Source organism: Homo sapiens, chromosome X (assembly GCF_000001405.40).
Source record: "Homo sapiens chromosome X, GRCh38.p14 Primary Assembly".
Classification (NCBI taxonomy): Eukaryota; Metazoa; Chordata; class Mammalia; order Primates; family Hominidae; genus Homo; species Homo sapiens.
The window spans coordinates 90253059-90268105 of NC_000023.11; the positions used below are offsets into that span (position 1 = coordinate 90253059).

Here is a 15047-nt window from a genome sequence, read left to right on the forward strand (position 1 = left end):
CAGATGTTTATGGATCATTCTACCTGAGAACTGCAGAGTATACATTCTTCTCACCAGCACTTGGAGCACTCTTCAATATAATCCATATAATTGACCACAAAACAAGTCTCAATAAATTAAAAAAATCAAAATCATATCAAGTATATTTTCAGACCACAGTGAAATAAAACTAGAAATCAACTTCAAAAGGAACTCCTCAAACTTTACACATACATGAAAATTAAACAATTTGTTTCTGAATGATTTTTGAGATAAAAAAATTAAGATGAAAAATTTTTTAAGTCTTTGAAATGAATGATAATAGTGATACTGATTACCAAAACCTCTGGGATCCAGCAAAAGCAGTGCTAAGAGGAAAGTTTGACCACAAATTGACAATCTAGTATCATGCCTCAAGGAACAAGGCAAGAAAGAACAACCTAACTCAAAGCAAGCAGAAGGAAAGGAATAACAAAGATCAGAGCAGAAGTAAATGAAATTCAAACAAACATAAAATACAAAAGATCAATGAAACAAAAAGCTATTGTTCCTTGAAAAGATAAACAAAATTGATAGACCATTAGCAAAATTAGCTAAGAAAAGAAGAAATTCATATAAACTGAATTATAAGTGAAACTGGGGACATTCCAAATGACACCACAAAAACACAAAATATCATTTGAGACTGCTATGAACACTATTATATACACAAACTGGAAAACTTAGAGGAAATGGATAAATTCCTGGAAACGTGTATTAGTCTGTTCTCACACTGCTAACAAAGACATACCCAAGACTGGGTAATTTATATAGGAAAGAGGTTAAATTGATTCACAGTTCCACATGGCTGTGGAAGCCTTACAATCATGGTGAAAGGTGAATGAGGACTAAAGTCATGTCTTACATGGTGTCAGGCAAGAGAGCATGTGCAGGGGAACTCCCCTTTATAAAACCATCAAACCTGTGAGACTTATTCACTATCATGAGAACAGCATGGGAAAAACCCACCCCAATGGTTCAATTACCTCCTATTGGGTCCATCCCATAACACATGTGAATTCTTACAATTCAAGATGATATTTGGCTGGGGACACAGAGCTAAACTATATCATTCCACCCCTGGCCCCTCCCAAATCTCACGTCCTCATATTTCAAAACCAGTCATGCCTTCCCAACACTTCCCCCATTGTCTTAACTCATTTCGGCACTAACTCAAAAGGAACTAACTCCACAGTCTAAAGTCTCATCTGAGACAAGGCAAGTATCTTCCACCTAGGGGACTGTAAAATCTAAAGCACGTTAGTTATTTTCTAGATACAATGGGGGGTACAGGCATTGGGTAGATACATTCATTCCAAATGGGAGAAATTGGCCAAAACAAGGGCTACAGGCCCCATGCAAGTCCAAAATCTAGCAGGGCTGCCAAATCTTAAAGCTATGAAATGTTCTCCTTTGACTCCATGTCTCACATCTAGGTCACACTGATCCAAGAGGTGGGTTCACATGGTCTTGTCAGTTCTTCCCTGTGGCTTTGTAGGGAACAGTCCCCATCCCAGCTGCTTTCCTGGGCTGGTATTGAGTGTCTGAAGCTTTTCCAGGCACACAGTGCAAGCTGTAGGTGGATCTACCATTCTGGGATCTGGAAGATGGTGGCCCTCTTTTCACAGCTCCACGAGGCAGTGCCCCAGTGGGGACTCTGTGTGGGAGCTTCAAATCCACATTTCCCTTACACACTGCCCTAGCAGAGGTTCTCCATGAGGGCCCCACCCCTAGAGCAAACTTCTGCCCAGACATCCAGGTGTTTCCATACATCCTGTAAAATCTAGGCAGAGGTTCCCAAACCTCAGTTCTTGATTTCTGTGCACCTGCAGGCCCAACACCATGGGGAAGCCACCAAGGCTTGTGGCTTGCACCCTCTGAAGCAATAGCCTGAGCTGTACATTGGCCATATTTAGCCACAGTTGGAGATGCTGAAATGCAGGAGACCAAGTCCCTAGGGTGTACAAAGCATGGGGTCCCCAGGCCTGGCCCACAAAACCATTTTTTCTTCCTAGGCCTCCAGGTCTGTGATGGGAGGGGCTGCCATGAAGGTCTCTGACATGCCCTGAAGATATTTTCCCCATCATATTGGTGATTAACATTTGGCTCCTCATTACTTATGCAAATTTCAGCAGCTGGCTTGAATTTCTCCTCAGAAAATGGGTTTTTATTTTCTATCTCATTGTGAGGCTGCAAATTTTCTAAATGTTTATGCTCTGCTTCTCTTTTAAACATAAGTTTCAATTCCAAACCATATGTTTGTGAATACATAAAACTTATGATTTTAACAGCATCCAAGTCACCTCTTGAACTCTTTGTTTCTTAGAAATTTCTTCCACCAGATACCCTAAATCATGTCTCTCAAGTTCAAAGTTCTGCAGATTTCTAGGGAAGGGGCAAAATGCCACCAACCTCTGTGCTAAAACATAGCAAGAGTCACCTTTACTACAGTCCCCAACAACTTCTTCACCTCCATCTGAGACCACCTCATCCTGGACTTCATTGTCCATATCATTATCAGCATTTTGGTCAAAGCCATTCAACAAGTCTCTAGGAAGTTTCAAACCTTCCCACATCTGCCTGTATTTTTCTGAGCACTCCAAGCTGTTCCAACATTTGCCTGTTAACCAGTTCCAAAGCCACTTCCACTTTTTGGGTATCTTTACAGCAGTGTCTTACTACTCAGTACAAATTTACTGTATTAGTCTGTTCTCAGGCTGCTAATAAATACATATCCATGATTGGGTAATTGATTGATAAAGGAATGAGGTTTAATTGATTTACAGTTGCACATGGCTGGGGTGGCCTCACAATTATGGCAGGAGGCAAATGAGGAGCAAAGTCGTGTCTTACATACCAGCAGGCAAGAGAGCATGTTTAGAACTCCCTTTTATAAAACCATCAGATCTTGTGAGAATTTTTACTATCACAAGAATAGCACGGGAAAAACACACCCCCATTATTGATTCAATTATCTGCCACTGGGTCTCTCCCACAACATGCGGGGATTATTACAATTCAAGGTGGGATTTGTGTGGGGACACAGAGCCAAACCATATCAACATGTACCCCCCTAGATTATATCAGGAAGATATATAATCTCTTAATCTCTTAGAAGATTAATAACAAGCAGTGAGATTGAATCAGTAATAAAAAATTACCAACCAAAAAAGCCAAGGCCAGATGGAGTTAAAGCTGAATCCTATCAGGTGTTCAAAGAGGAATTGGTATCAATCCTACTAAAACTATTCCAAAAGATTAAGAAAGATGGAATCCTTCCCAATTCATTCTATGAAGCCAGTATTACTCTGATACCAAAATCAGAAGAGGATATAGCAAAATAAGAAAACGAAACCAACATCCTTGATGAACATACATGCAAATTCTCAACAAATTACTAGCTAGCCTAATCAAACAGCAAACCAAAAAGATAATATACAATCATCAGTGGGTTTCATCCCAGGGATGCAGGGGTGGTTTAACATACACAAGTCAATAAATGCAATACTCACATAAACAGAATTAAAAAGAAAAACTATATGATAATCTCAACAGATACAGAATAAGCATTCAAAAAAATCCAGCATCCCTTTATAATAAAAATCCTCAACAAACTAGGCATAGAAGGGACTCAACTTAAATTAATAAAAGTCATATGTGACAAACCCACAGCCAACATACTGAATGTAGTGCAGTTGAAAGAATCCTTTCTGAAAACTGGAACAAGACAAGGATGGCCACTTTTACTACTTCTATTCAACATAGTATTTGAAGTCCTAGCCAGAGAATTGAGGCAAGAGGTATAAATAAAAGGCATCCAAATTGGAAAAGAGAAAGTCAAACTATCACTATTAGCCAATGATATAATTATATACCTAGAAAACTTTATAGCTTCCTCCAGAAGACTCCTAGATTTCAAAAACGAATTCAGTAAAGTCTCAGGTTACAAAGTCAATGTACACAAATCAGTAGCACTTCTATACACCAACAATGATCAAGCTGAAAATAAAATGAAGAACTCAATCCCTTTTACAATAGGTGCAAAAAATAAAATAAAATATCTAAGAATATATTTAACCAAGAAGGTAAAAATCTCTATAAGGAGAACTACAAAACATTGCTGAAAGAAGCCATAGATGACTGAAACAAATGGAAACACTTCCCATGCTCATTGATTGGAAAAATCAATATTGTGAAAATGACCCTACTGCCCAAAGCCATCTAGAGATTCAATGCAATTCTATCAAAATACCAACATCATTTTTCATAGAACTAGAAAAAACAATAATCCTTAAAATTCATATGGGACCAAAAAAGAGCTCAAGTAACCAAAGCAAATCCTTAGCAAAAAGAACAAATACAGAGGCATCTCATTACCAAATTTCAAGTAATACTACAAGGCTGTAGTTACCAAAACAGCATGGTACTGGTATAAAAGTAGACATATAGACCAATGAACAAGAATCGATAACCCAGAAATAAAACTAAATACAACCAACTGATGTTCAACAAAGCATACAATAACATAATTTGGGGAAGAGACACCCTATTAATAAATGGTGCTGGGAAAACTGGCTAGCCACATGCAGAAGACTGAAACTGTATTCCTATCTCTCACCTTATAGAAAAATCAACTCAAGATGGATTAAAGACTTAAATCCAACACCTAAAACCATACAAAATTTTAGAAAATAACATTGTAAAAACTCTTCTGGACAGTGCCCTAGAAAAATAATTTATGTCTTAAACCCCAAAAGACAATGCAACAGCAATAAAAACAAAAATAAATGGGACCTGATTGAATTTAAAAGCTTCTGTGTGGCGAAACAAATAATCAGCAAACAGACAAAAAGTGGGAGAAAATATTTTCAAACTGCATCCAGCAAAGGACTAGTATCTAAAATCTACAAGAACTTAAACAAGTCAGCAAGAAAAAGTCAATAATCCCATCAACAACTGGACAAATGATATAAATAGGCATTTCTCAAAAGAAGATATGCAAATGACGAAAAAATGTATGAGAAAAATACTCAACATCACTAATCACCAGAGAAATACAAATTAAAACCACAATGAGGTACCACCTTAGTTCTGAAAGAATGGCCATTATGAAAAATTCAAAAACAATAGATGTTGATATAGATGTGATGAAAGAGGAATGCTTATACACTGGTGGTGGGAATGTAAATTAGTGCAATCTGTATAGAAAACAGTGTGGAAATTCTTAAAGAACTTAAAGTAGATCTACCATTTGATCCTGCAATCCCGCTACTGGGTATCTACCCAAAGGAAAATAAGTCATTATCAAAAAAAAAAAAAAAAATGCATGTATAAGTTTATTGCAGTCCAATTCACAATTGCAAAGACATGGAACCAACCTAAGTGGCCATCGATCAATGAGTGGATAAAAAAATGTGGTATATACGAACAATGAAATACTACTCAAATAAAAAGGAATAAAATAATGTCTTTTGCAGCAACTTGGATGGATCTGGAGGTCATTATTCTAAGTGAAGTACCTTAGAAATGGGAAACCAAAAACCTTATGTTCTCATTTATAAGTGGGAGCTAAATTATGAGTACATAGAAGCATACAGAGTGATATAACAGACTTTGGAGATTCAGGAGGGGGAAGGTAAAGGGGAAGTGTGAGATAAAAAAACTACATATTGGCTACAGAGTACACTATTCAGGTGATGGGTACATTAAATCTCAGAATTCACCACTATTTAATTCATCTGTGTAACCAAAAACACTTGTACCACAAAAGCTATTGAAATAAAAAAAAATAAAAGAGCAAAATAAATAAATAAGTTAATTAATTAATATTATCTTGAAGTGAAATAAACAGCGTGAATGCAAGGTACAGGTGAAGAAAGCAAAGTTTTAAGCATCAAAGTAGAAAAATATAGCTCTGATTACTTTAATTTTAAGGTAGAGGGTGTTGATAATGAACTTAACCACAAGGAGGCAAGAAGGAGAATTTACAAAAAAGAAAAACAGAGTATGGGATAATAAGCCAAGGCAGAAATATTACAAGAGTGATTTACACATACTTAGTTTCAGGGGTCAGGGCAAGGAGAAGTGAAGTCAGCAAGATGTCATTCTTGTCCTTACCTCTTCTCTTTAAAGCTAGTAGAGGGAGAGTGATAGCCCCCTTCTGCTTTTGGCACTGGAACAGGAAAGCTACAGGAGGAACAACGTAAAATTCCAAATAAACTCTTCTGATTTTGAAATGTGGATTATATGCAGATAAAGTTACTATTCTCTGAATGAACAATTCAAATATCTAGGAGACTTGCATTTAGCAAGTACCTTAAGTGCTATCCTGATTTAATTTGTCATTCTTATTGTTATTACTATAATAAATCACTTGAAATGATTCTTGTATGTGGAGCAAGCAAGTATCTTTTATCCAACTTAAAAAGGATGGGAAGTTTATAATCAAAAGGATAAATGTTCTGAGTTGTACGAAGAATCATTGTGAAAAAAATAAGATTAAAAGAAAAAGAATGGATCAAAGTGTTCTTTACATATGCTGTTTTTATTCAACTGAAAATTAACATATGTTGGGAAGATACCTTAAAGTCACTTCTGTATATTTATCATCTGGCTTGTGTTTAATTAAATAAAAATCAGATTATCCCTTTTATTTTGAGCTGCAAGATGCTCGTGTTGTCTCTAAAGTATTTGGCCGCTTCCCCAGAATGACACCTTTCATTTTGATATTTGTGGTGAAGGAGAACAAAAGAAAAATTGTCAGTCTCAAATGATGACTAAAAAAATTAAAATTATACCTGATAATGAGTAAAGTTTCCTAAGAGTCACCAGAAAATAAAGTTTGATACTGTCTTAAACAAATATCAGGAATTAACTAGGGCAACCAAGACCAGATACATAATTTGTGGAGCCCTGTGCAAAATGAAAATGTGGGGTCTCTTGTTAAAATTTTATTAAGAGTTTCAACACAGCAACAGCACAACATTAAGAAAAGCTCAGGGTCCTGATGATAAACACACAGATTGTATACTCACAAAGTCAATCCTGGGGGAAAAGTAGTCTTAATAAAGACTTCATTTTTAACTGTTTATTATTAAAGAATTATTTAATTATAGCACAGTAATTGCAAAGATGAGAGGTCTTATGTACCCTGGAGTAGTCCGTTCTCATGCTGTTAATAAAGACTTTCCTGAGACTGGGTAGTTTATAAAGGAAAGGGGTTTAATTGACTCACAGTTCAGCATGGCTAACTGTGAGGGAGTCCTCACAATCATGGTGGAAGGCAAAGGAAGAGCGAAGTCACATCTTACATGGCAACAGGCAAGAGAGCATGTGCAGGGGAACTGCCCTTTATAAAACCATCAGATCTAGTAACACTTTTTTACTATTATGAGAATAGCATGGGAAAAACCTCCCCCCTTGATTCAATTACCTTCCACCAGGTCACTCCCACAACACATGGGGATTATGAGAGCTACAATTCAAGATAAGATGTGGGTGATGACAGAGCCAAATCATATCATAACCTTTACTCAGTTTCCTCCAAAGGTTATATCTTACAGAATTATAGCACACAATCAAAACCTGAATATTGACATTGGTACAACAAATTTGTATAGTTCTATACCATTTCCTTACATGTATAAGTTCAAGTAACCATCACTGCAAAAAAGACACGGAAATATTCCATTACCACAAAGGTCTATCTTGTGTTCCTCTTTGAAGTCACACCTTCCTCCCTGCTTACCATTGTCCCTAAGCCCTGACAACCACTAATTTCTTTTCCATGTTCATAATTTTTTCATTTCACAAATGGTATATGCATAGAATTATATTGCCTTAGTCAGTTGGAGCGGCTTTAATAAATTACTATAGTCTGGGTGACTTAAACAGCAAACATTTATTTCTCATGGTTCTGGAGCCTGGAAGTATGAGATCAGTATGCCAGCCTAAACAGGCTCTGATGAGGGCCTTCTTTCTGGCTAGAGAGAAATATTTCAAATATCTTTCTCTTTTTATAAGGGTGCTAATTTAATCATGAGGATTCCACCCTCATGACCTAATTAGGTCCCAAAGGTCTCACCTTGAAATCTCATCACATTTAGGTTTAGGGTTTCAACATATACTTTTGGGGAGGGGCACAAACATTCAGTCCAAAGCACATATATTATGTAATCTTTCAAAGTTTGCTTTTTTCACTCAGTGCAATTCTTCGAAAATTCATCAAAGTTTTGCAAATATCAATAGTCTATTCATTTATATTACTGACTACTATTCTGTGTTATGGATATACTATCATTCTATGGTTTCTTTAGCAGTGAAGTCTAATTCGAAGAACATCTGAATTTTTCCCAGTTTTGGGGTGCTATAAATGAAGCTGCTATGAACAGGTTCTGTGTAGACACAAGTTATCATTTCTCTAGGGTACATTTTCAAGAGTGTGATTGCTGAACCATATGCTAAGTGAATGTTTAGTTATACAAGAAACCACCATACAAATTTCCAGAGTGGCTGTGACATTTTACATTTCTACTAGCCATATATGAGAGATCTAGTTTCTTCACATATGAGGCAGCATTGGAGTGAGATCAATTTTGAGGGAAAGTGAGAAAACAGGGAATCCTGTATTTGGTAAATGAGTTGAGTTGTTTAAATGTGGTATCTAGAACTTTAAAATATTAGTCAAGAAAAGACAAGAGGGAAAAGCTTCGTATAAAAGAAAAGATCACCAGAATAAGGAAAGTCTCAAAGGCACTTTACCACAAATTTTTCATCTGAACTTTATAGGTATATTCACCCGTTCTATGGCTTTTAAACAGGGATAAGTAAAAGGCATAAGTTTCTGCATGGCTCTTGCATCATGAAATGCATTCTTTAATACCATTTTCACTTTGAATAAGTTTTTTGTAAAAACGTATTGTGTATTCTTATGGTTAATGATACTTGTCATTCATTTGAATTGCTGAGTCTAGAAATCTGACTGCATTCTATTATCCAACTGGTCACCAGATTTTATCAGTTCTACCTCCATCATGTCTAGGTAATTATGGATCATTTCTATTGCCACAGCTTCTTAATTCTTCAAAGTTCCAAATGCTGAAGTCTATTTGCTCTACTCACACTGTTGCCAGAGTTGACTTTCTTAAGCATAAAACAATTTCTCCAATTTCTGTGCTTAAAAATATTTGCTGACTCCTGAATGTAAAGTCTTAACTCAATTACATGGAATTCAAAAGCTACACTAATTTGTTATAATTCTCAATCTTCTCTCTCTATTTCTAATATAACATTTTAAAAGAGTATAGTTATAGATCATCAATGTTACAAATTCATGCTATAGTTCCCCTTGTTCTTTCTTTCCTCTGCTCTCTTTCTTTGAGGTCTTACTTTCATTTAATGCTTTCTTGAATTATATGCTCTTCATTGAAAGCTCCAGGTAAAATTAACAATCCCTTTCCCAGATATATGTTGATAGTCTATTCATGGTACTAACTACACCATAAAATTGTAAAATTGTTATATACATATAATTCCTCCAATAGATTATAAATGTCTTGAGAGTGCAGACTGTGCCTTACATCATTGTCCCCACTCCCAGTACTGGTGAAATACTTGGAATACAAATGCAGTAAATGGAGATTGAATTGCATTGTATCAGAGAATGGGAAAAGAGTATCAAGCAGTACTTCCAAAACTGCTAAAAAAAATAAAATCAAATGGCAAAGAGTAAAAAGGCCAATTAAATATAATATTTTTCATTCTTAAGGAATAATGAAATATTAGAAAAAAATGTTATGTGAAAAATGGCTCTTTCTAATTTCATTAATCTGATAATTGGCTCTTCACCTTCCTTTACCTAGTTAGATAAAGTCACAGACTTATTATTGTATAAAATAAGAAATACAGTTTTTAAAAACTGATATACTAATGGGGAAAATATAGTCCAATGTTTCTTTTGAAAGCTCAAATTATACATGTATTTAAATACTTCCCAGTTTTTATTTAATTAATTCATCAGTTAATGTATTCATTTCACAGATTGCTGTTGAATATCTTTAATATACCAAAACCTGCAAGGTGCTAGACATACAAGGTAAATACAAAGTCTTTCTCAAAGAATTTAATAAGAGATTGGAGAAACAGACACTTAGAAACATTTACAAATCACCATGAATGGAACAATGTACGCTAGTGTTGTGGGAGAGGAAGTTTTGAAATACTTCCACAGAGAGGATGATACTCAAAGTGGGTATTGAAGAATGCAAAGAGTTTCTGGGGGTAAATGAGAACATAATAAGTAGAAGGAAGAACATAAGAAGCATGGCATTGCAATGGTGACTGACTTAGGGCTATACTGTCTTAGACTTGGAAGTGTAGCTAGGGAAGTAGGATTATTGTGAATATGCATCCTTATATGGCATATTTTCCTTATATTTTGAGAATTAAAATTGTTTCTTTGAATTTCAATAACAGCCTAGTTATTCTTACAAACATGTTTTGTTTTTCTATCATTGATTAGAGTCATTAATAAAATTGCCTACAGCTTTAAAATAATTGTCTATTTATTTTAGCTCAACAGCTTCGTATAAAATGGTAAAGACTAAGGTAGCATCAAGTATGGATACTTACCAAGATATTGTTTTATATGGGGAAAATGTAACATAACCCAAGTTCAGGAATAGGAACAGGGATGCATTCTCATTAAGATGCAATTTAATGACGCAGTTTCTCACTAAGCTGATTATTCACTGCATTTTCCCCTACAATTAATCTGGCATACTAAGTTAAGGCACATTATACGAGGTTACATGCCAACACTTTTGGAATTCTTAAAACACTGCAAAGTAATCTCAGGGAAGAATTTTAGCTCCCAGTACATATAAAATAAAAGTTAAGGGAATAATTATTTTGCATCTATGAAGTACCGTGAAGAGTTAGTTTGGGCCATATGTGTCAACTGTTTGCTAAAACCAGATTTCTCTTTCACATGTAACTTATTTAACTCTTTAGAAGTGAATACTTGGAAGGACACAAGCAAATAATTCACAAGTGATGAAACTAAAATAGTCCCTATATAAAATGTCAATATCTAAAGAAATATATATTAAAAGAAGAAAAGGAACAATTCCTTCAATTACTAAATTATCATGTTTTGTTCATAATAATAATAGCCAAAGCTGGTTGATGTAAGGAAACCAAGTGATACTCTTGTACAGTTTTGGTAAGAACATATTTGTGCAGTCTTTCCGGAAGGAAATTTAGTAACTGCCTTAAAAATGTACTTTTCTTTTACAAGCTATTCAATGTTAAGATTATATTCCGAAAAAATAATCAGAGAAGTGTTTACAGACAAGTATACAAAACTATATACTGTAGTATTTTTCACAGCATAGAAAGTTAAAGACAATTTACATGTTCAACAACTGTGGATTAATTACATCCATAATGACAAAGAGATAACGTACAGCATTTAGAATTGTAGTTTTTAAGAAACAATGTGAAAATGAGAAAAAATACTAGTAACAGTAAATATAACATGAATAATAAACAGCAAACACCATTTTAAATGTCGAATGGTAAAATTATGGAAAGATTACTAGTTATAGCTCTGCTTATTTTATTCTACTTTAGTAATTACCTGAGTTTATTAGAGTTCATTAGATACTTTAGAGTTGATGTGCATTACTTTGGTACGTAGTAAAGATACTATAAATATTTAGAAAACCAACTGATTTATTGTTTTGGTAGTATTTTATTTGCTGAACTATAGGCGTAGGGAAATCTACATGTTGTTGTGGAATCTTGTTATAGTACCTTATGTGACTGCTTAGTAAGTTCTTTGTGCCCATTTGAAATCAATAACTACAGTTGAAGATATTCTGTATGGATTTTCCTTATTAGATAAGTATCTGCATACAGGGGAAATTTTGCAATTTATTTTTTATCTAATGTGCATATTTTAAATTCTGCTTGCCTTTTCTCCTTTTATCAGAACATGAAAATGAAAAGAAACATATGATCTGACAGCTTCTCCATAAGAGGAAAATCCTTAATAGCTAAATACTTGTTCAAAGTATTCCTTGAAGCAATCTCCATTTTTTTTTCACGGTTATGGTCATCAAGATAAAAAACAAAACAAAACAGAAAACAAGTTATTTTGCCTTTAAGTCTCCAAAACTGGCTGTATCCTCAACTTCTGTTTGCATATGCAGTTACAGTCTCAGAATTTCTCCAACTTAAAGCAAAATGTAGAAGCAAGATAAGACTATTGGCTTAAGAGATTGAAAAGAAAGGATGGAGTTTCCCATTTTATTTAGAATTCAGATTCTTTTTGAGCCATTACTGTCCATTTCTCTTGGTGTCTACCCAATGGCCTAATGTTTAACTATGCGAGACATTCCAAGTCTATTTTATATATATATACACACACACACACACACACACACACACACACAATAGTGCTGTGTTCTGAATGTGTGTGTCCCTGAAAAATTCATATATTAAAACTTAATCCTCAATGCAATAATATTAAGAGGTATGGACTTTGGGAGTTGATTAGATCATGAAGACTCTGCAATCATGAATGGCACTTGTGCTCTTGGGAGCTTGGGGGCCCTTTTGCCACGTAAGGATGCAGCAAAAGGCACCATCTATGAAGAAGAGAGCAAGCCTTCACCAAAAAATCTGCTAGTATATTGATCTTGAACTTCCCAGCCTCCAGAACTGTGAGAAGTATATTTCTATTATTTACAAATTACCCAATATAGAGTATATTGTTATAGCAGCCCAAATACAGTGACACAATAGCAAAAACTTACATTAAAATTATTCTTAGATTTGATCTAGAAAATACTGCTTTGCTACATATAAGAAAACAAATATACCAGATTACCAAGAAAGATACTTCATTATGGATTTTCTGACTTCCAACTTGGGGCTCTTTCAGTGATACGGAAGTGAAAATTAAAAATAAGTGTGAAGTACTAAAATAAATTCAACAGAAAAACACCCCCAACTCCATTGCAAGCTAGCTCACATAGTCCGAGAAAAACAATGCTAAACAACATATATGTTATTTTGTTTTGTTTGCTTATATCTTCTGAGATAGAAAAAATCCAAATCTGTTGTTCTCCTTGTCTCGGAGCTGACCCTTTCCAGCAGATGATATCACCTCTAAGGTAACTAAGAACAATGATTTCTTATGGAAGTAAATCAAGACTGTTCCTATCAAAATTAAAAAATAAAATGTTGAATATTAGAGAGAAATGCAGCAATAATATATGGAGTTTAGTAATATGATGGACAGCTCTGTAATCATATTAGTTTCAAAATATTTAATATAGTCTTTTCCAAATATGATATAAGCAGATGGATAGACTAGCTGTGTACTTTCATTGCCTCTGCTTTACTGATGCAGAACTCTTAAAACAAGCTTCCAAATATTGTTGGTTCTTTGTTTATTGAGTGTGAAATTGAAAGCAAAGCAAACCAAATGCTGTGACGTATATCCATTTTCCATCCTCCTTGGTCTTGCAAATCAATTATTATTCAAAATTACCCTTTATAATCAAAATTCTTTGTATAACAACTAATATGCCATTATCTTAAACTAATATGATCACATTCTTTTTTTCTTTTGTTTTTGGTAGAGATGGGAGTCTCACTGTTTTGCCCAAGCTGGTCTTGAACTCCTGGCCTCAAGTGTTCCTCCCGCCTCAGACTCGCAAAGTGCTGGGATTACAGGCAGAAGTCACTGCTCCAGGCCACATTATTTTTATGATTATTATGATTAATACTTTTAAATAGTTGTACTTTGGGTTCTTGGGAACCCAGAGAAATAACATTCTTCACAAAGTTAGTTCAAAGGATTTTTTTAAGCTTAGTGCTACCGTTCTAAATGACTTTTTAAAAGAAAAGCATTGAGTATTTTAAGAAACATATAAATTGAATTTTGTGATTATCTGAATTGGTGTTTTAGTTAGCAATGTAATGAGAGTAAAAATAACTAAACATTAAACTTTCTAATAGATTTCAGTTCAATACTAATACTACAGGGCTGATGCTTGCATTTCTTAGAAAGAGCAGGAAAATAAATATATATGTACATTTAATTATAAACAGAAGGCAGAGTTAGTTTACAACATTTAAAAAAAAATCTAGATTGCATACTTTAATTTTCACCATGCAAAAAGTTGGAACTTGTAACTTCCAATGAGTCAATCTTTGGCTATTTTTCACAATCCACAAGTCCATGGTTTTTCTATAAAATAAGCACTAGTAATAAAAATCACAGGACACTATTTAATATGTTTGGTTGTATTATAATATTGAGAATAATTGGAGGATAAAATACTTTCTTTTAAAACATCACCTTTTCAGTGTCTGTTTCAAAAATATAGAATAAATTTAATTTTTAAAATTCTCTAAGTTTTCTATAACATCTTGAAATCATTTGTGATACTGTGATGCCACAATACCAGAGTGCCCCAGACTAAAATAAAACAAAACAATCAAATATACAAACATAAAAATAAAACCAGCCAAGCACATATGGGTGTGGTATTTTTATAGCATTAATTTATGGGGTAGTTAGACATTTCTTTTATTTTTGCCATTCGTGGGGTGTGAGTGAATTATAGATGATATAAGAATGTTGGTATATTGATAATCATTGAATCTGGATGATGGTATGTGGAGGTTCATTATGCAATTCTGTCAACTTTTTCTACATTTGAAATTTTCCATAATGAAAGTTGAAAAAAAAAACAGAAACAAAACAAACAAATGAAAAACACCATGAAGTGAAAAGACAAGCCACAAGGTAGATGAATGTTTTTGCAATAAGAATCACTAAAACAAGATTAGTATGCACAGAAAGATTAGTATGTAGACTATTTAAAGAACTGCCATAAATCAACAAGAAAGAACAATCCAGTATATAAAAAAGTAGCTCATATTTAAGCAATCTCAGTAATCAAAGAAATTTATATTAAGACCGCAGTAAAATGTAATTTACCTGTAATTGGCAA

At 34.3% G+C, this 15047-nt stretch overlaps 1 long non-coding RNA gene across 1 annotated transcript in view; it reads left to right on the plus strand.

The window, feature by feature from the left end:
• Positions 1-14440, plus strand: part of LOC105373292 (uncharacterized) — a 32993-nt gene extending 18553 nt beyond the window's left edge. The window contains exons 3-4 of the long non-coding RNA XR_938464.3: positions 10057-10111; positions 12011-14440. This is a non-coding gene — a long non-coding RNA (uncharacterized LOC105373292). The remainder of the gene's footprint in view (positions 1-10056; positions 10112-12010) is intronic.
• The last annotated feature ends 607 nt before the right edge of the window (positions 14441-15047 follow it).